This window comes from Homo sapiens, chromosome 8 (assembly GCF_000001405.40).
Source record: "Homo sapiens chromosome 8, GRCh38.p14 Primary Assembly".
Taxonomy (NCBI): Eukaryota; Metazoa; Chordata; class Mammalia; order Primates; family Hominidae; genus Homo; species Homo sapiens.
Window position 1 is genome coordinate 79969952 of NC_000008.11, and position 22916 is coordinate 79992867.

General features: G+C 38.7%; 2 protein-coding genes across 2 annotated transcripts in view, besides 1 other annotated feature; both read right to left on the bottom strand.

Moving 5' to 3' along the window:
* Positions 1–22916, bottom strand: part of TPD52-MRPS28 (TPD52-MRPS28 readthrough) — a 252848-nt gene that overhangs the window by 51235 nt on the left and 178697 nt on the right. The window lies entirely within an intron of this gene.
* MRPS28 (mitochondrial ribosomal protein S28) overlaps positions 1–22916 on the bottom strand; it is a 111543-nt gene that overhangs the window by 51235 nt on the left and 37392 nt on the right. The gene's annotated exons all lie outside the window — the stretch shown is intronic.
* Positions 12055–12620: an enhancer, noted in NCBI's record as "H3K27ac-H3K4me1 hESC enhancer chr8:80894241-80894806 (GRCh37/hg19 assembly coordinates)". NCBI's record gives its function as "activates a minimal SCP1, AML or CMV promoter by ChIP-STARR-seq in primed H9 embryonic stem cells {active_cell/tissue: H9 hESC(primed)}" and the evidence as "EXISTENCE:reporter gene assay evidence [ECO:0000049][PMID:30033119]".

Here is a 22916-nt window from a genome sequence, read left to right on the forward strand (position 1 = left end):
CATTCACTCAAGTGTTTATTGAGCAACTAATATTATACATGCTTGGATATAGCAATAAACAAAAGAGTCATTCAAGTGTGATGCCATTCCTACAGTACTTATCATGTGAACAACATCGATATTCCAACAAGTTCCATGATACTTTGTATACCTTTTATACTGACATAAGGTGCATATGGCTCCACCTGCAAATTATCACCATTAGTGACTCCAGAAGAGTAAATCTATTTTGCTTCCATAGCATCTGACCTCCAGATCACGGGTTTTTTTTACCTAGATTCAAGGATACCTAAAGGTTAATGGGTATATTGGGGGAAATCTGTGAACTCCTTAATACTGCATGCCTATACTGTATTCTCCAGGGCCCCAAGACCCCAAGAAGAATTTTTTTAAAAATCAGTGCTCTACATGTAGAAAATTCTCTAGCTATTTGAGCAATTCTGTCCTACTGAAAGGGCTGCTGCCATATACCAACACAGAGGATAGTTGGTAAACTCCTTACCTGACATTTTATAGGACAATGTTCAACAATTTTATCATCAAGAAGTTATGTTTTGCTCATCTAAATTCTGTCCTCTCCTGTTTTGAATACCAACAATCTAGTCAGTCTGTTAGACAAAGACTTCTTCCAAAAAAACTGTTTACAGAACTTGGGCTCCAGCAACTTTTGCAATATAATCCTTGTGCACTACTGAACCACAGAAAAATAACTCCTTAATTTGTGGTTGGAATAACCACTGCAGAACAACCTACAGTGGGTGGCATGAAACTATCACAATTATAAAGTAACCAAGCAAATAATATACTAGGTCTCAAAGAGATAAAATGTTATAAATCCAAAACATACATTGCTATAAATAAAGTCTGTGGTTATTTGCTGAGATGCTCTAACATTGCAGTAACAAGGGTTACTCTTAGCATGTTTTATAAAGAAATAACTAAAGCTATTTGACAGTAGACTCAGTGGCACCACATGTATTGTTTGGGCTAAGAAATTAGGTGAATTGCACTGTATAGTAACTTTGGAAAAATGCCGCCTTTAATATAAACAAACAATGGACTTTCCTTTAGAAGCCACGAGAAGGGAGAGGAGGACAGCAGGATTTGTACTACCAAATCAGCATGCCAGCAATTTGGGAAACCATTGAATAAGAGCAATCAGTGTGTCTAAATGCATATTTGTTGACAGCTGTAATCAGATCATTTCCTCAAAATTTAAATAATGGATTTTAGAGTTGGGAAGGCTCTTTAAGACCAACCAGACAATGGGGACTGAGGACTAAAAAGGGTGCATGACTTGCTCAAGTTCACCAAACAGAACAGAAAGAAAGAACTGAGTCTCTTGACTCCCTTATCAAGCTATCTTTCTTACACAGAAAGGTTTTTTTAATTAAAATATAATTCATGTGCTACAATTCACTAACTTAAATAAACAATTCAATGGCTTTTGGTATAGTCACTAAAAACAGCTGTGCATTCATCATCACAATTTTTTAACATTTGTATCACCCCCAAAAGAAACTCCCTTAGCTATCACTCCCTTAAATGTCCCCTACCCCACCCACTGCCTCCCATCTTCCCATCCCTAGGTCACCACTAATCCATCTTCTGTCTCTACATACTTGACTATTCTGCACATTTCATATCAAGGAATCATACAATATGTAGTCCTTTGTGACCAGCTTCTTTCACTGAGCATAATGTTTTCAAGATTCAGACATGTTGTATCACGTCTTAGTACTTCATTACCTTTTTTTCTTTTTTGAAATGAAGTTTTATTCTGCAACCCAGGCTGGAGTGCAGTGGTGCGATCTCAGCTCACTGAAACCTCTGTCTCATGGGTTCAAGCAATCCTCCTGCCTCAGCCTCCTAAGTAGCTGGAACTACAGGTGGGAGACACGCCACCACGTCTGGCTAATTTTTGTATTTTTAGTAGAGACGGGGTTTCACCATGTAAGCCAGGCTGGTCTTGAACTCCTGCCTCAGGATCTGCCCGCCTCAGCCTCCCAAAGTGCTGGGATTACCGGTGTGAGCCACTGTGCCCAGCCCCATTACTTTTTAATGGCTGAATAATATTCCACTGTATGGCAAGTTCCACATCTGCAATTTCCATACAGGCAAGTTCCACATCTGCAATTTCTACATCTGCAGATTCAGTCAACCACAAATAGAAAATATTCAGGAATAAAAGCCAATAAAAATATAACAAAATATAAATAAAATTATCTGCATAGAATTTATCTTATATTAGGTATTATCAATAATCTAGAGATGATTTCAAGTATACAGGAGAATGTGTGTAAGTATACCCAAGCACTATGCCATTTTATTAAAGGGACTTCAGCAACCATGGATTTTGGTGTCTGTGGGGTCCTGGAACTAATCCTCCCACAGGTACTGAGGATACCTATACCCCATTTTGTTTATCCATTCAGCAGTCGATGGACACTTGTATTGTTTCCACATTTTGGCTATCGTGACTAATGCTGCTATGAACATCTGTGTACAAGTTTTTGAGTCGACATCTGATTTCATTTCTCTTAGGTATATATGTAGGAATGGAATTGCTGCATCATATAGTAACTCTGTTTAACCACTTGGGGAACTGCCAAACTGTCTTTGAAAATGACTGCACCATTTTACATTCACACTCATCGAAAAGTTCCTGCTTTTAAAATCAAAACAATCAGATCACAAATTCCTTAGTTTCTGTTAACAGGTAACTGAAGAAAAAAACCCAAATATTGACACACGTTTTTTAAAAACCACATACTATCACTACACAAAACTCAGATTCAGAGTTCGAAACAGAGAAAGATAGCTTTAAATTGCTATTTTACAAAGGATTACAGTATAGTGAATATTTCCTTAATTGCTGAAATCATATCAAAATATCACACAAGGGCTATAGATAAATGTCAAACATTCAAAATATTGGGAGATCTTAAATATAAATTAAAAAGGAAAAATTGATTGAATGCTCTCAAAAACCAAATTAAAATCTATTGCCAGGTGATTTTTACATACTTTCAGTCATTGGAAGGAAAACAAACATTTTTAAGATACAAAATTGATAGGTATTCAACAGGGCAAAGTAAATGCAGTATACTGGTTTGGAACACAAAATGAAAGCTAGCCACTATAACCATACAACAAAGAGTTATCGTCCAAATGGGCTTATGATAAGCAATTTGGGGAACAACAACTTTATACACAATGCAGTCAACTGTACATTCTGGATGTCAAGGGGTTCTGCTTCCATTTACTGGATAAGCTTCATATATATACATTTAGAGTTGGACTCTCAACACAGTGAAAGAGAGAGAGAGAGAGTGTGTGTGTGTACATATATTTAGAGTTGGGATCTCACTGTGTTGCACAGGCTGGAGTGCAGTAGCTATTTACAGGTTTGATCATACCACACCATACCCTCAGCCACGAGCAGTGGTGTGTGCCTGAAGTCCTAGCTACTCAGGAGGCTGAGGTGGGAGAATCCCTTGAGCACAGCCTGGGCAACATATGAAGACACACCCCCATCTCCAAATAAATAAATAATGAAATTAAAAAGCCAGCACATTATAGCCTCAAATTCCTGGCCTCAACAGATCTTCCCACCTCAGTCTCCGGAGTAGCTACAACTACAGGCCTGCAACACCACGCCCAGCTAGGGTGTGCCTTCTACAAAGGAAGGTTGGGGCAACTAGTAAGTGTAAAGTCGAGATTAAAAGAAAATTTGGCCAAGTATCAGCAACTCCCATGGGTGTTTCTGCCACTCAGAGACTCTAGAACTTTGGAACAGCAGCAGGTAGACAAGTGGGTAAGAGGAAAGTGTGAATAGAAACAGAAAGAAAACGAGTTCTCACAGAAAAGGGCCAGGAATAAATTAATAAAAAAAAAAAAAAGAAAGAAAGAAAGTGAAGAATCTAAGCAGATACAAGTAGGTCGTGCATAGAAATCTAAACCTCTTATTTTATTATTTTTTAGAGATAAGGGTCTTGCTATGTTGCCCAGGCTGATCTCAAACTCCTGACCTCAAATGATCCTCGGCCTCACAAAGTGTTGGGATTACAGGCATGAGCCACTGCACCTGGCCTAGAAATCTGAATTTTTATCACATTTTCAGCACCAGCAAATTTGCCCTTTCTTTTCAGTGGTAGTTAAAATCTTCCAGAATTGTCTTTAGCTTTACTAATCTCCAGACAATGGTGGCTGATGAACTTTTTGACAGTACACCGAAGAAAGAACAGTTTATATCATAACTAGCACCCTCATAGAAATCTTTCTAAACATATACATATAAACAAACGAGGCCGGCGCGGTGGCTCACGCCTGTTATCCCAGAACTTTGGGAGGCCGAGGTGGATGGATCACGAGGTCAGGAGATCAAGACCATCCTGGCTAACACGGTGACCCCTTGTCTCTACTAAAAATACAAAAAATTAGCCAGGCGTGGTGGTGGGCGCCTGTAGTCCCAGCTACTCGGGAGGCTGAGGCAAGGAGAATGGCGTGAACCCGAGAGGCAGAGCTTGCAGTGAGCCGAGATTTCGCCACTATATTCCAGCCTGGGCGACAGAGCGAGACTCTGTCTCAAAAACAAAACAAAACAAAACAAAATAAAAAAACAAAAAAAAAACAAATGAAATGTTCCCCAAAAGCACTAGTCTTGCTATTTTGGTACAGCCTAGTATTTTCTATTCTATTTCATATTTTTAAAAAAAGCTGAAAATGGCCCAATAAATTATGATGTGCAGTTTTTCAAGGATAAAGCTCATAGGAAATGATGATAATATAATCAACCATGACTAACTTCAGATACGGGCAGGCAATGACAAACTACATCCTAAGTGTCACCTGGCCAATAGTAATTTCAAAGAGGTAGGGCAGGCTAAAATACAAAAAAAAGTTTGTCTCATAGTCAACAAAATTAGGTAATAAAAGCTCAATAAATGAATATTAGTTCACAAATATTACATTTTTTATTATTATTACGGAGGGCAGTAGGAATCCTGACTTAATTCTAAAATAAATTTCAAGTAATTTCAAATAAATAAGGCTAGGCACAGTAGCTCACACGTATAATCCCAGCACTTTGGGAGGTCAAGACAAGAGGACTGGCTGAGCCCAGGATTTCAACATCAGCCTGGGAAACATAGTGAGACAACCCCCACCCCATCTCTACAGAAAAATGTACAAAAATTAGCCAGGTGTGGTGGCATGCACCTGTAGTCCCAGCTACTTGAAGGGCTGAGGTGGGAGAATCACTTGAGCTTGGGAGGTTGAGGCTGCAGTGAGCTGTGGTCATGCTACTGCACTCCAGCCTGGGCAACAGAGCAAGACCCTGCCTTGGAAAAGATAATTAATTAATTAACACTGAAATATACAACTATAAAATACTAGAGAGAAACACAGACCACTACTTTTACAAAGGCAAAAGCCTTTGTAAGTATGTAAGTATGGTACCCAAACCAGAAATTATAAAAGAAAAAGGCAAATGAATTACATAATACAAAAATTTTGTATGGCAAAGTAATCAACAACAAACTGGAGTAAATTTTTTTTAACAGTTACAACAAAGAGTATAAACTAACAAGAAAGTGATAAATACAAAAGACTAATGAGCAACCAGAACAGGCCAATGACTCTGGAGTACAAAATTCATTTAAGAATTAAATAAACGGCCAAACGTTCAACATTGCTAGTCATCAAAAGTGCAAATTAAATCAATAATGTAATAACTTTTGCTTATTAGATTGGCAAGATGAAAAAAAAACACCTAGTGTTGGAGAGAGACAGTTACTTTGGAAATTTGAGAATGTGTATAAATCTTTAAAGAATGTACAACCAACCTATCCAGTTCCTCCACTCTAAATAATTTATTATAAGGAAATAATCAGATAGTTATACCAAAATCTATATACAGATAAAAATAATAAAAACTGAAAACAACATCAATATATATTAACAGGGAATTAGTTAAAGAAGTTGTAGTAGTAAAATGCTATGCAGTCTTTAACAATTTTGTTTATGACATAGTTAGCTGGCCCTGACATATGTTTATTTGGGAAGGCGGGGGAAGACCTACTTATGAGGCAGTATGCAAAAATACTGGCAGATTTCTGTTGTTGTTAAGAATCTTTTTTTTTTTTTTCCAGACCAAGTTTTGCTATTGTTGTCCAGGCTGGAGTGCAATGGCGCAATCTCAGCTCACTGCAACCTCTGCCTCCCGGGTTCAAGCAATTCTCCTGTCTCAGCCTCCCAAGTAGCTGGGATTACAGGCATGTGCCACCAAGCCCAGCTAATTTTGTATTTTTAGTAGAGACAGGGTTTCTCCATGTTGATCAGGCTGGTCTCAAACTCCTGACCTCAGGTGATCTGCCTGCCTCGGCCTCCCAAAGTGCTGGGATTACAGGCGTGAGCCACCGCACCCGGCCTTGTTAAGAACCTTTTTTAAAACATATATATAAAAATGCTGGCTGAGTTCCATGGCTCATGCCCATAATCCCAGCACATTGAGAGGCCAAGGTAGACGGATCTCTTAAGTCCAAGAGTTCAAGACCAGTCTGGGCAACATGGCGAAACCCTAGCTCTACTAAAAATACAAAAAATTAGCTGGGCATGGTGTCATGCACCTGTAGCCCCAACTACACGGGAGGCTGAGGTGGGAGGATTGCTTCAACCAGGGAGGTGATGGTTGCAATGAGCTGAGATCGCGCCACTGCACTCCAGTCTGGGCAACAGAGTGAGACTCTGTCTCAAAACAAAAGGAAAAGAAAAGAAAAACAAAAAGAAAATGTTTCACTTGGTGATAATTGTTTTTTTCCTTCATTTGAATTTGTATTTTGCAATCAGCTTAAATTACTTTTAAAATAAAATGATATTTTTCAAATAAAAAGATGAACAATCTTAATGCTCAATCTGTTTACATAAACCTGAAAAATATTAATAACCTTTAAGCCTACTTGCTCCACTTAATCTTTCCTCAGGAAATAATCCTAGAAGTCTTAACCACAGAGATGTTCCAGACTGTGTCATTTGTAAGAGTGAAAAAGTAGTAACAACCTACCTAATAAACAGGAATGCCTGAAGAAATTATGATATATTCAATGATATATAGTGCATCCTTCATAATGAAAAAAATGCTACACAATAAACTTCAGTGAGAAGCTCAATATTCAAAATTATAGAGAGTATGATTAAAACCATATTATGTACAAACAAAACAGAAATCTGTAGCTGAAAAGATTGGAGGCAAATGTACTAAAATGAGTGGTGGAGCTCATTAAATACTCATTTAAATGAGTATTTTAAAATTTAAATACTTAGAGAATTTCCCACAGCTTCTTTATGAAAATGCATTAGTTTTACAAATTGAAACCAAAAAATAATAATAACAGAAATATCGACATAAATCCAATTTTACTAATTTGGCTTGATCACTGAAAAATATCAACTTTGACAGCTCAGTGATCAATACATAGAATAAACAAATGATTTAAAGCTTTAATCTAAAATGAAGAGACCAACAGAATTAATTAAGTTTCCTTTGATCAATAAATTATTTTTATAATAAACAAAAGAATACAGGCGAAGCACAGTGGCTGTCACCTGCAATCCCAGCACTTTGGGAGGCCAAGGTAGGCAGATCACTTGAGACCAGGAGTTCGAGACCTGCCTGGCCAACATGGCGAAATCCCATCTCTACAAAAAATACAAAAATTAGCCAGGTGTGGTGGTGGATGCCTACAGTTCCAACTACTTGGGGGACTGAGGTGGGAGGATTGCTTGAACCCGGGAGGCGGAGGTTGTGGTGAGCTGAGATTGCAGCACTATACTACAGCCTGGGTGACAGAGTGAGACTGTCTCAAATAATAATAATAATAATAATAATACATAAAGATATATGTATAGGAAGAAACACTTGCATAAATAGAATTTTAATGTAAAAACACCATATTTTATATTTATGATATATAAATACTTCTTTTTCCTATTTCCCTTTTTCTTACAAAAAATGCAACTAGAACTATTTGCTTGGTTAATTATCCAATTTAAAAAAATAAATATGAAAATAGAAATGTAGACAGATCACATCATAATGTAATTAGTTAAAAAGACATGCTTTGGAATTCAGATTAGGAAAGACAATATAAGAACAGTCCATCTATTTATTAGAGACTGACAGCTTATGGTTGACAATGGTGTGGCTGAATTTAAGTGAACTTAATTAAATATTACTTGATAATACTTAACAGTAAAGTGATAGGGTGAAACAAATTGCAAAGTGTGGGCTAAGGTGAACTAGGCTTATACTTAATGTTTTTTAATTCTTTTACAAAAGATTATTGCAACAAAAAGATGTTAAAATTTTTAGAAAGTGACAGTTGTATTTTTTTTTTCCCTGATAAACATGTAATCTAAGTAGTTTAAAACAACTAGGAAGATAAGAATCTGTCCGAAGTGACAGACTGATCAGGATTTCATCTTCACCATGCATTGTGGATCAGATCAGGCTTCAATACAAAACTCTACTGTGTACTAGCTCACGACTTTGCATATATTTCATACCTTCTCTAGGTCTCAGTTTCCTTGTCTAAAAACTGTGGATAATGTTTCCTAACTTAGAGCATTACTATATTTATCCTTGAAAAAAGACAGGATATAAGAGTAAGCTATGGTTATATTTTTGACAATTGAAAAGAGAATTTGGATTATGATCTTAATTTTACCCACTCTTCACTCCACCCCCATCTCTACAAAAACAAAACAAAATAAATAAATAAATACGCAGTTTCCAAGAATTGTGACATAATTTTATTTTCCAGAAAATGAAATCAGTGGATAACCACCCCTTAGGAAATGAGCATAGAACAAACTCATTTTACATGAGTTAAAATGTAGTAATCAGAATGGAAAGAGGCAAGAACATATTACTTTAATGATGTATTTTTTTTCACTATTGAAAGTTGAAAAGTGTTATCAGAAATTCTCTGAAACAAACATATCTTAGTAGTCATTTCTAATATAAAATACATTCAGTCACTAATTTTTTGTGTTGTTTTGTATCTTTAGTTGAAGACAGGAACACATAACCTATACTTTCAAAATACAGCCAGCCTAAAAAGGTAAATAAAATTTTTTATTTTGAAAAGGGAAAAATTTCAAGAAAAAAACTGTACCTATCTGTAGATGCTGGATAATGTTCATTCAAATCTTTATAATACGGGAGCCTTTATTCTTTGAGAGGCAGAACTGGAGAATTAGGACTTTGGAGGAAGAGACATCTGAGTTAGAATTCCAGCTTTGCCACTTAATAGTGGTGGGAGCTCAGGCACAGCAGCAGAACCCACTGGCTAGGTGACACAAGAGTTATATTCCCAGTCTCCTTCTCACCTGAAGCAGCCACAATGAAAAAGTTAAACACTGATTTTCAGAGCCTTCCCTGCAGTTAGGGAGAAGCTAGATATGTTGTATAGGTCTGACCAATTAAATGAAAACTGAAGTCTGGCAGCTTTTGTTTTCCTGGTAAAAGGGACAAAAAAATAAAAAATAAATTTTAAAAGAAATTTTTTTACTTATTTATTTCTTCTTGTGAGACAGGGTCTTACTCTGTCACCCAGGCTGAAGTGCAGTGGCACAAACACAGCTCACTCCAGCTGCAACCTTCCGGGCTCAAGAAATCCTCCTGCCTCAGCCTCCCAAAATGCTGGGATTACAGGTGTGAGCCACTGCACTCATCCCAGGTCTGCTTTTTAACTACCCTTATGAAAACTACCTGCCCTCCCCAATCTCTTCCTTCCCATTCTCTTCCTCCCTTAAACACAGACATGTGGTCTGTAGAATCAGCAGCCTTACTGTACCATGCATGACTCAAGAAGCCCCAAGCCTCATGTTGATGTTAAAGCATAAAGCATTGTCAAGCTGCTAAAACAACCCCAGTAGCCACTAACATTCAGGATTCTCACGCAAAAAAAAAAAAAAAAAAAAAAAAAAAAGTCTCTATCTTTTTAAGCCACAAGTAGACAAGTTTTCTGCTATTTGCAATTGACACAAGTCTAAATGATTTGGAAAGTCACAAATTCTGAGAATCACCTTCCTCATCTATTAAATAAGGGTGATGCTAGTAAGACGTATGTAAAGCATAGTATCTGTCTGACACATAGAAAAGGTTCAATAATGCCAGCTGTTGTGATAATGATGACAACTTTAATTCTCACACCAACCAGTACTTTGATAGCACTTTGGGGGTAAGTACTATCTTCAACCACTTTAAAGACAAGAAAATTAAGGCTCCAAAGTTAAGCAACTTGCCTAAGATCACACAATTAGTTAGGAGTAGAGCCAGGATTCAAATCCAGAAATCTTTCCAAGGCCATGATCTTAACTAGTATTATGCTTAGAAAAGTGACTGAGTACAATTAAGACTTAACAGCTAATAAATGTTGGCTATAATGATTATGACAACATAGCCAACTATGAAGACAAGAACAGGCAGAAAATGCCCTATAGTTTTCAAATCTAGAAAACAATAAATTCTCATTTAATTTGACATTGATTTTGTTTGACATTGATTTTATTTTTCTTAAAATTGAAATGGCTCTCATTTCTTCACTAAAACAGGTTACTACAGCCTCTTCACTGGAGGTTAACTTCATCCCTTTGTAACACCAAAGGAACTAAGAACAGTATATTCAACCAATAATTGAAACACCCTACCAATAGGTAAATGACTTGGTGACTCTTGTCCATCAAAAAAGTAAGCAATGAGTATTTATTGTGAACTTATACTCTGCAAGGCACTATGCCGGACATTTAAAAATTATTTTCTCCAAAATATGCAGCACATGTTGATTTTCTTAAAGTGACTTAAGATTCCTTTGGAGGGAAAATTTAATAACAATTTAAAACATTAGGAAGATGCTGCTGCTGCTACCAGTCATCAACACCATCGTCACCATCACTACCATTACTATTAATAATAGAATTCATATCACAAATCAACATATGCTAAACTTTACTTTTGGAATGCTTTGCTTCAAACTTCAGATGTCCTCTTCAGTGAAATAAATGAAACAAAGAGCTTTAAAAATTCATGCTGGGTCGGGCGCAGTGGCTCACACCTGTAAACCCAGCACTCTGGGAGGCCGAAGCTGGCAGATTGCTTGAGTTCAGGAGTTCAAGATGAGCCTGGGCAATGTGGTGAAACTCTGTCTCAACAAAAAAATACAAAAATTTGCTGGGCATGGTGGCATGCACCTGTAGTCCCAGCTACTTGCAGGGCTGAGGTGGGTGAATCGCTTGAACCCAGGAGGTGGAGGTTGTGGTGAGCTGTGATCACTGCACTCCAGCCTGGGCAACACAGCGACACCCTGTCTTAAAAAACAAAAACAAAAACATGCTGAAGACACAGTATTTAAAAAACAAGCTAAATTCAAAATTAAAGTTTCTAAATAAATTACGTTCAGGAAACAGGCAAACTAAAATATTTGCAATTGCAGTTAGGAAAGATATTTAGTTTCTCAAATAGATTTTGAGATTTAAAGAGTTTGTGTTTAGCTGTTAACTTTCAAACTAATATGATGTATTATCATTCTAGTAAATAAAAAAAGTAAAATAAAAACTGAAACAGAATGGTAAGTAAAATAGAAGTTTTGAGGTAAGACTAACTCTAGTAAAAATGCTGAGTCTGAAAATATGTACGTTTACAGCAATATATTTTGGAAGCCGAGTAACTTAAAATCGTATCTTCCACACTGAAAGAGGTATAGCATAACAAAGAGTTGACACTACTATAAGTAGATATAAAAGAAATGCTTTCAAGGAAATCACATCAAGGAAGGATTGGTTTGCTTAATAAATTCAAAAATGACAGAGAGTAGCATAAAATCCACATGAACATTATAATATGCTCAATCAGTTCTAATTAAGGATTTAATTATACCTATTTGATATCTAATTTGCATTTTTCTAAAGGAACACGAAGTATTCTATTTTAGGTCCAAAGTTAAGGCTCTGGGCAGGGTGCAGTGGCTCATGCCTGTAATCCCAGCACTTTGGGGGGGCCAAGGCAGGTGGATCACTTGAGGTCAGAAATTCAAGACCCGCCTGGCCAACATGGTGAAACCCCATCTCTACTAAAAGTACAAAAATTAGGTGAGCATGGTGGCGGATGCCTGTAATCCCAGCTACTCAGGAAGCTGAGGCAGGAGAATTGCTTGAACCCAGGAGGCAGAGGTTGCAGTGAGTCAAGATCGCACCACTGCATTCCAGCCTGGGCAACTGAGTGAGACTCCATCTCAAAAAAGAAAAGAAAAGAAAAGAAAGAGATGGTGGAGCCAAGATGGCCAAATAGGAACAGATCCGGTCTACAGCTCCCAGCATGAGCGACGCAGAAGACGGGTGATTTCTGCATTTCCATCTGAGGTACTGGGTTCATCTCACTGGGGAGTGCCAGACAGTGGGCGCAGGACAGTGGTTGCAGCGCACCGTGCGTGAGCCGAAGCAGGGCGAGGCATTGCCTCACTCGGGAAGCACAAGGGGTCAGGGAGTTCCCTTTCCTAGTCAAAGAAGGGGGTGACAGACAGCACCTGGAAAATGGGGTCACTCCCACCCTAATACTGCGCTTTTCCGACGGTCTTAAAAAACGGCGCACCAGGAGATTATATCCTGCACCTGGCTCGGAGGGTCCTATACCCACGGAGTCTCGCTGATTGCTAGCACAGCAGTCTGAGATCAAACTGCAAGGCGGCAGCGAGGCTGAGGGACGGGCACCCGCCATTGCCCAGGCTTGCTTAGGTAAACAAAGCAGCCGGGAAGCTCGAACTGGGTGGAGCCCAACACAGCTCAAGGAGGCCTTCCTGCCTTTGTAGGCTCCACCTCTGGGGGCAGGGCACAGACAAACAAAAAGACAGCAGTAACCTCTGCAGACTTAAATGTCCCTGTCTGACAGCTTTGAAGAGAGCAGTGGTTCTCCCAGCACACAGCTGGAGATCTGAGAACAGGCAGACTGCCTCCTCAAGTGGGTCCCTGACGCCTGACCCCCGACCCCCGAGCAGCCTAACTGGGAGGCACCCCCCAGTAGGGGCAGACTGACACCTCACACGGCCAGGTACTCCTCTGAGACAAAACTTTCAGAGGAACGATCAGACAGCAGCATTCACGGTTCAAGAAAATCCACTGTTCTGCAGCCACCGCTGCTGGTACCCAGGCAAACAGGGTCTGGAGTGGACCTCTAGCAAACTCCAACAGACCTGCAGCTGAGTGTCCTGCCTGTTAGAAGGAAAACTAACAAACAGAAAGGACATCCACACCAAAAACCCATCTGTACATCACCATCATCAAAGACCAAAAGTAGATAAAACCACAAAGATGGGGAAAAAACAGAGCAGAAAAACTGGAAACTCTAAAAAGCAGAGCGCCTCTCCTCCTCCAAAGGAACGCAGCTCCTCACCAGCAACGGAACAAAGCTGGACGGAGAATGACTTTGACGAGTTGAGAGAAGAAGGCTTCAGACGATCAAACTACTCCGAGCTACAGGAGGAAACCCAAACCAAAGGCAAAGAAGTTGAAAACTTTGAAAAAAATTTAGACGAATGTATAACTAGAATAACCAATACAGAGAAGTGCTTAAAGGAGCTGACAGAGCTGAAAGCCAAGGCTCGAGAACTACGTGAAGAATGCAGAAGCCTCAGGAGCTGATGCGATCAACTGGAAGAAAGGGTATCAGTGATGGAAGATGAAATGAATGAAATGAAGTGAGAAGGGAAGTTTAGAGAAAAAAGAATAAAGAGAAACGAACAAAGCCTCCAAGAAATATGGGACTATGTGAAAAGACCAAATCTATGTCTGATTGGTGTACCTGAAAGTGACGGGGAGAATGGAACCAAGTTGGAAAACACTCTGCAGGATATTATTCAGGAGAACTTCCCCAATCTAGCAAGGCAGGCCAACATTCAGATTCAGGAAATACAGAAAACGCCACAAAGATACTCCTCGAGAAGAGCAACTCCAAGACACATAATTGTCAGATTCACCAAAGTTGAAATGAAGGAAAAAATGTTAAGGGCAGCCAGACAGAAAGGTCGGGTTACCCACAAAGGGAAGGCCATCAGACTAACAGCGGATCTCTTGGCAGAAACTATACAAGCCAGAAGAGAGTGGGGGCCAATATTCAACATTCTTAAAGAAAAGAATTTTCAACCCAGAAGTTCATATCCAGCCAAACTAAGCTTCATAAGTGAAGGACAAATAAAATCCTTTACAGACTAGCAAATGCTGAGAGATTTTGTCACCACCAGGCCTGCCCTAAAAGAGCTCCTGAAGGAAGCACTAAACATGGAAAGGAACAACCAGTACTAGCTACTGCATAATCATGCCAAATTGTAAAGACCATCGAGGCTAGGAAGAAACTGCATCAACTAACGAGCAAAACAACCAGCTAACATCATAATGACAGGATCAAATTCACACAAAACAATATTAACCTTAAATGTAAATGGACTAAATGCTCCAATTAAAAGACACAGACTGGCAAATTGGATAAAGAGTCAAGACCCATCAGTGCGCTGTATTCAGGAGACCCATCTCATGTGCACAGACACACATAGGCTCAAAATAAAGGGATGGAGGAAGATCTACCAAGCAAATGGAAAACAAAAAAAGGCAGGGGTTGCAATCCTAGTCTCTGATAAAACAGACTTTAAACCAACAAAGATCAAAAGAGACAAAGAAGGCCATTACATAATGGTAAAGGGATCAATTCAACAAGAAGAGCTAACTATCCTAAATATATGTGCACCCAATACAGGAGCACCCAGATTCATAAAGCAAGTCCTGAGTGACCTACAAAGAGACTTAGACTCCCACTCAATAATAATGGGAGACTTTAACACCCCACAGTCAACATTAGACAGATCAATGAGACAGAAAGTTAATAAGGATACCCAGGAATTGAACTCAGCTTTGCACCACGCGGACCTAATACACATCTACAGAATTCTCCACCCCAAATCAACAGAATATACATTTTTTTCAGCACCACACCACACCTATTCCAAAATTGACCACATAGTTGGAAGTAAAGCTCTCCTCAGCAAATGTAAAAGATCAGAAATTATAACAAACTGTCTCTCAGACCACAGTGCAATCAAACTACAACTCAGGATTAGGAAACTCACTCAAAACCGCTCAACTACATGGAAACTGAACAACCTGCTCCTGAATGACTACTGGGTACATAACGAAATGAAGGCAGAAATAAAGATGTTCTTTGAAACCAACAAGAACAAAGACACAACATACCGGAATCTCTGGGACACAGTCAAATCAGTGTGTAGAGGGAAATTTATAGCACTAAATGCCCACAAGAGAAAGCAGGAAAGATCCAAAATGGACACCCTAACATCACAATTAGAAGAACTAAAAAAGCAAGAGCAAACACATTCAAAAGCTAGCAGAAGGCAAGAAATAACTAAAATCAGAGCAGAACTGAAGGAAATAGAGACACAAAAAACCCTTCAAAAAATTAATGAATCCAGGAGCTGGTTTTTTGAAAGGATCAACAAAATTGATAGACCGCTAGCAAGGCTAATAAAGAAGAAAAGAGAGAAGAATCACATAGACGCAATAAAAAATGATAAAGGGGATATCACCACCGATCCCACAGAAATACAAACTAACATCAGAGAATACTATAAACACCTCTACGCAAATAAACTAGAAAATCTAGAAGAAATGGATAAATTCCTCGACACATACAACCTCCCAAGACTAAACCAGGAAGAAGTTGACTCTCTGAATAGACCAATAACAGGCTCTGAAATTGTGGCAATAATCAATAGCTTACCAACCAAAAAGAGTCCAGGACCAGATGGATTCACAGCCGAATTCTACCAGAGGTACAAGGAGGAACTGGTACCATTCCTTCTGAAACTATTCCAATCAATAGAAAAAGAGGGAATCCTCCCTAACTCATTTTATGAGGCCAGCATCATCCTGATACCAAAGCCTGGCAGAGACACAACCAAAAAAGAGAATTTTAGACTAATATCCTTGATGAACATTGATGCAAAAATCCTCAATAAAATACTGGGAAACTGAATCCAGTAGCACATCAAAAAGCTTATCTGCCATGATCAAGTAGGCTTCATTCCTGGGATGCAAGGCTGGTTCAATATACTCAAATCAATAAATGTAATCCAGCATATAAACAGAACCAAAGACAAAAACCACTTGATTATCTCAATAGATGCAGAAAAGGCCTTTGACAAAAATCAACAACCCTTCATGCTAAAAACTCAATAAATTAGGTATTGATGGGATGTATCTCAAAATAATAAGAGCTATCTATGAAAAACCCACAGTCAATATCATACTGAATGGGCAAAAACTGGAAGCATTCCCTTTGAAAACTGGCACAAGGCAGGGATGCCCTCTCTCACCACTCCTATTCAACATAGTGTTGGAAGTTCTGGCCAGGGCAATTAGGCAGGAGAAGGAAATAAAGGGTATTCAATTAGGAAAAGAGGAAGTCAACTTGTCCCTGTTTGCAGATGACATGATTGTATATCTAGAAAACCCCGTTGTCTCAGCCCAAAATCTCCTTAAGCTGATAAGAAACTTCAGCAAAGTCTCAGGATACAAAATCAATGTGCAAAAATCACAAGCATTCTTATACACCAATAACAGACAAACAGAGAGCCAAATCATGAGTGAACTCCCATTCACAATTGCTTCAAAGAGAATAAAATACCTAGGAATCCAACTTACAAGGGATGTGAAGGACCTCTTCAAGGAGAACTACAAACCACTGCTCAACGAAATAAAAGAGGATACAAACAAATGGAAGAACATTCCATGCTCATGGGTAGGAAGAATCAATATCATGAAAATGGCCATACTGCCCAAGGTAATTTATAGATTCAATGCCATCCCCATCAAGCTACCGATGACTTTCTTCACAGAATTGGAAAAAACTACTTTCAAGCTCATATGGAACCAAAAAAGAGCCCACATCGCCAAGTCAATCCTGAGCCAAAAGAACAAAGCTGGAGGCATCACGCTACCTGACTTCAAACTATACTACAAGGCTACAGTAACCAAAACAGCATGGTACTGGTACCAAAACAGAGATATAGATCAATGGAACAGAACAGAGCCCTCAGAAATAACGCCGCATAGCTACAACTATCTGATCTTTGACAAACCTGACAAAAACAAGCAATGGGGAAAGGATTCCCTATTTAATAAATGGTGTTGGGAAAACTGGCTAGCCATATGTAGAAAGCTGAAACTGGATCCCTTCCTTACACCTTATACAAAAATCAATTCAAGATGGATTAAAGACTTAAATGTTAGACCTAAAACCATAAAAACCCTAGAAGAAAACCTAGGCATTACCATTCAGGACATAGGCATGGAAAAGGACTTCATGTCTAAAACACCAAAAGCAATGGCAACAAAAGCCAAAATTGACAAATGGGATCTAATTAAACTAAAGAGCTTCTGCACAGCAAAAGAAACTACCATCAGAGTGAACAGGCAACCTACAGAATGGGAGAAAATTTTCACAACCTACTCATCTGACAAAGGGCTAATATCCAGAATCTACAATGAACTCAAACAAATTTACAAGAAAAAATCAAACAACCCCATCAAAAAGTGGGCAAAGGACATGAACAGACACTTCTCAAAGGAAGACATTTATGCAGCCAAAAAACACATGAAAAAATGCTCACCATCACTGGCCATCAGAGAAATGCTAATCAAAACCACAATGAGATACCATCTCACACGAGTTAGAATGGCAATCATTAAAAAGTCAGGAAACAACAGGTGCTGGAGAGGATGTGGAGAAATAGGAACACTTTTACACGGTTGGTGGGACACTAGTTTAACCATTGTGGAAGTCAGTGTGGCGATTCCTCAGGGATCTAGAACTAGAAGTACCATTTGACCCAGCCATCCCATTACTGGGTATATACCCAAAGGACTATAAATCATGCTGCTATAAAGACACATGCACATGTATGTTTACTGCGGCTCTATTCACAATAGCAACGACTTGGAACCAACCCAAATGTCCAACAATGATAGACTGAATTAAGAAAATGTGGCACATATACACCATGGAATACTATGCAGCCATAAAAAATGATGAGTTCATGTCCTTTGTAGGGACATGGATGAAACTGGAAATCATCATTCTCAGTAAACTATCGCAAGAACAAAAAACCAAACACCGCATATTCTCACTCATAGGTGGGAATTGAACAATGAGAACACATGGACACAGGAAGGGGAACATCACACTCTGGGGACTATCGTGGGGTGGGGGGAGGGGGGAGGGATAGCTTTAGGAGATATACCTAATGCTAAATGACAAGTTAATGGGTGCAGCACACCAGCATGGCACGTGTATATGTATGTAACTAACCTGCACATTGTGCACATGTACCCTAAAACTTAAAGTATAATAATAATAAAATAAAATAAATAAAAATAAAAAAATTAAAAAAAGAAAGAAACCTAACTGTGATATATTTATGGAAAAATATTTTATTAAAAATTAAAACAAGGTAAGAACAAAGCATCATGTTTTCAAGTATAGGACAATGTTGAACCTAAATAATTCCTAATATATTCAATAAAAGAAAAATGGATATGTATAAATGGAGACATAAAAAACACAAATGTCATTTATAGACACATAAAAGTATTCTTTAATTATTATAGTGCTGTGATTTTTAAAACAGACAGCTCCAAAATAAGCCTTTTTGAACAATTCTGTTCATCAGACTCCTGGGTAAATGAATTTCTACTGTACACACTGACAGATACAGGGTTAGAACCTAGATCTCTTGCCCTCCACTCCTATGTTCTTCCTGTTACTTGTCTTGCTTGACTTCCTTGCACATGCCAAAAACTACTGTATCTGCTTCCTGCCATTTTTACCCTCTAAAATTGTATAAAGCACTTCCTAGAAGAATATAGAAAAAGAACAGAGAAGTAGAAGGAGAATCAAGAAAATAAAGGTATGTGACAATTTCTGAGAAGGGAATAGCCAATATTATTGAATAATACAAAGCAGTTAAGCAGAAACTAGTGGGCAGGTAACCAGATGTCCCTGATGAGTTTAAGAGGGTGCTTTCAACAAGTATAATGGTGAGGGCAGAGCCTGGTGGGCTGAACTGATGAATGAACGGTAATTTGGGAATGGGAAAAGTACAATAGTTTTAAGGGGAAACATGCTAAAATGTTTGCAATCTTACCAAACTATCTAGAAAAAATGATATAGAAAAAATTTAAGGTAAGAAATAGGAAATCCAGGGAGTATTAGCTTGAATCAGTTGAAATTTCAGATACTCAACTATTTTGACGTTAAAAGCTGCAATTTTATACGGTTTAAACTAAGGTACAAACTTGATTTCAAGAAAGGAGATAAGGTTATCTTCTAAGGACATAGAAGCAAAGAACAGATGCCTAAGAGTGAAGTAGGTAAAGTAATAAGAAATCTACGAGAAATGAATGAAAGAATTTTAGAGTCCTGAAGTTGAATAATAAGAATAATATACTTGGCAAAGCTACACTGTTTTTCTAAAAGGATCCTGTTATTTTTACATTTGCATTTCACTTTTAGAAATTTAGCTTTTTTTCTGTAATAGGATGCCTGAACATGAACCCCGCAACATTTCTTCAAGGCAGGCACTCTCACTTAATGTGGTACAAACATAACTGCAGTGATGCTGTTGCCTTTATATTTTGTTTTGTTTTGTTTTGTTTTTGCTGATAAAGGCAGAAGATCAAGGCACTTAGAGCCTAATATGAAGTTGCTATTAACAATCCCAGGTCTACTGTTATTCCACAACCTAATTTCTCATATTTCCAATCCCATGTCACCAAATGCCTACAGAAAAATCACAACATGACCAGGCACAGTGGCTCACACCTGTAATCCCAGCAGTTTGGGAGGCTGAGGTGGGTGGATCACCTGAGCTCAAGAGTTCAAGACTAGCCTGGGCAACATGGTAAAACTCCACCTCTACCAAAAACACACACAGACAACATTAGCCAGGCATGGTGGCAGACGCCTGTAGTCCCGGCTACTCAGGAGGCAGAAGCACAAGAATCGCTTGAGCCCAGGAGGTGGAGGTTGCAGTGAGCTGAGATTGCACCACTGCATTCCAACCTGGGTGACAGAGTGAGATCCTGTTTCAAAAATAAATAAATAAAGATAGAATAACCATAACATGTCTAAAACAGAACTCCTGCCCTTTGAACAGTTCTCTACCCCACTTCCCTACGGCTGTGACCTCTATTTTTCTAGTCACCTGGGCTAGAAACCTTTAGCATGAGTTACCGAGTCCTATCAGTCTTTCTCTGAACAGGCTCTTCTAGCTTTCTGTTCCCATCTCTTTCCACTCTAGTCCAGCCTCTAATCACCTCTTGTCTGGATTACAACAGTCTCAGAACTGGTCTTATGGTATCCACTCCATCTCACACATCACTACTAATGTCAGCATACAAAAATGCCAATCCCCAAACACCACCATCATAACTTTTCACCCTGAAATTCAGACTTATCTATAAGGATACTAGCCTATCTAGCAAAGCAAATATTTCACCACTCCCTAAAACTTCCATGTCATGGAATCTTGACCACTGTGGTCACTTTAAATGCATACACAGCAAAAAGAAAAAGAATAGAATAGAGGAGCAAAGAGAATGGAAACAAAGACAATGATTAGGAGAAAGTCACTGTGGGATAGGCGCAGTGGCTCATGTCTGTAATCCTAGCACTCTGGGAGGCCGAGGCGGGCAGATCATGAGGTCAGGAGATTGAGACCATCCTGGCCAACATGGTGAAACCCCATCTCTACAAAAAAAAAAAAATTCAAAATTAGCTGGGCATGGCGCGCGCCTGTAGTCCCAGCTACTCGGGAGGCTGAGGTAGGAGAATTTCTTGAAGCCCAGAGGTGGAGGTTGCAGTGAGCCAAGATCATGCCATTGCACTCCAGCCTGGTGACAGAGCAAGACTCCATCTCAAAAAAAAAAAAAAAAAGTAACTGTGGCAAATTCAGGTACAAGGTACAAGATATCCATGGCTGGAGAAAAGCCCTAATGGTAGAGACAGAGGAAAGGGCAGATTTCAGTGATAATTAAGAGGAAAGCTGATTGAGTGGATGCAGGAGGAAGGTTGTAATGAAGAGAAATGAGTCTATTCTGACTCTTGGCTTTCTGGACTATATGGCTGGATAGAGTTTAATTCAATTAACCAAAATAAAAAATAGTTTGAAATTTGTCTGAAATTAGCAAGGCTCTCTTGCATGAGATAGAAATAACTACTTAAGAAAATGGAGTGTCAGCAGCTTAAAAAAAGAACTTTTGCCAGATTTGAATTAATAGAGACAGAAAGAGAAGCAGTATGGACTTTTAAAGCCAAAGCTAGCACTAGGCCTAGCAAAGAGCAGCCACTTGATAAATGTTTACTGAAGTAGCTCAAAGCTGCTAGCAGTTGACTCAATGTATGGATAAGTAAGGAGACAAGAATTTTAGATACCTAGAATCACAGTTGGAAAGAAAAAAATAAAGGTTACCTTGGAAGTATACAGAAAATCTAGGTTTAAGTAGTGTCTAATAATATATTAGAGATGAAAATATTTTTAACACTGAAAACAGAGCAGAGAAAGATGTTTCCATTTTCTTAAATCTTGCTGTCATATATTTTGTGTTTTTATAGTTACTAAATTTTTGTATTAAAAGTTAAGCTTTGTTCACACACAGAAATTAAATACGTAAAATGCATACACAAACTCTGTACACCTCCCTCTAAAAGGCAAAGCCCAATTCCCTTTCTCTTGAGTATAGGCTGGGCTTTGTGACTCACTTGGTTATTAACCAACAGAATATGGCAGAAGTGACAATGTGTGACTAGGTCATAAAAGGCATCACCACTTCCTCCTTGCTCTCTCTCTCTCTCTCTCTCTCTCTCTCTCTCTCTCTCTCTCTCTCTCTCATCACTTACTATGGGGGAAGTTGCTATGTTGTGAGGGCACTCATGCAGCCCATCAATGGTGAGATTCATGTGCCAAGGAACTGAGGCCTCCTGCCAATAACCAGCACTAACTTGCCAGACATATGAGTGAGCTACCTCAGAAGCAAATCCTCCAGCCCCAGTCAAGCCTTCAGATGATTACAGCCCTGGCTAATATCTTGACTGAACTTCATGTGAGACCTTGAGCCAGAATCATCTAGCTAAGGCATTCCTGGATTCCTGCCCCACAGCAATTATGTGAGATAATACATGTTTATTGTTTTAAGCCACTAAGTTATGAAGTAATTTGTTACACAGACATAGAGAACAGTCACACAAAGCTCATTCTCAATTCTGTGCCATTCCTCATGCCATTTTCCCCAGAGATGTCCTTTCATTATCCATCCCAACACTCCCTCTCTATCCTTCGGTATCTAACTGAAGTTTCATGTCTTTGGGAGGCACTTTTTTGTCTATGAAACCATCTCAACTTTCATTTCTCTGGCTTCTCCTTTGAAGAAGCCAGATGCTTGACCACATCATTCATTTAGTCATTTATTCATACATTCCTCTGTGTTACTGTGCTATACGTTTATATCTTTCCTCCTAAAGATGAAGATGTCATACAGTTTTTAAAAACTGCATTAAGCACATTATGATTAAGGTACTCAATAAATATTTGCTGATAAAATTAACAAATCTCACACACACTTATAGACACATACCCTGAAAGTGTAATTTCAGTAAGTAGCATAAAGTAGTGGTTAACAATATAGAGAAGCTACTTTAGCTCACATCTGCATACTTATTAGCTGCTGTCCCTGGGTAAGTTATTTAAAGTATCTCTGTAAGCCTTAGTTTCTTCAGTGTTTTTAAATGAGAATTCTAA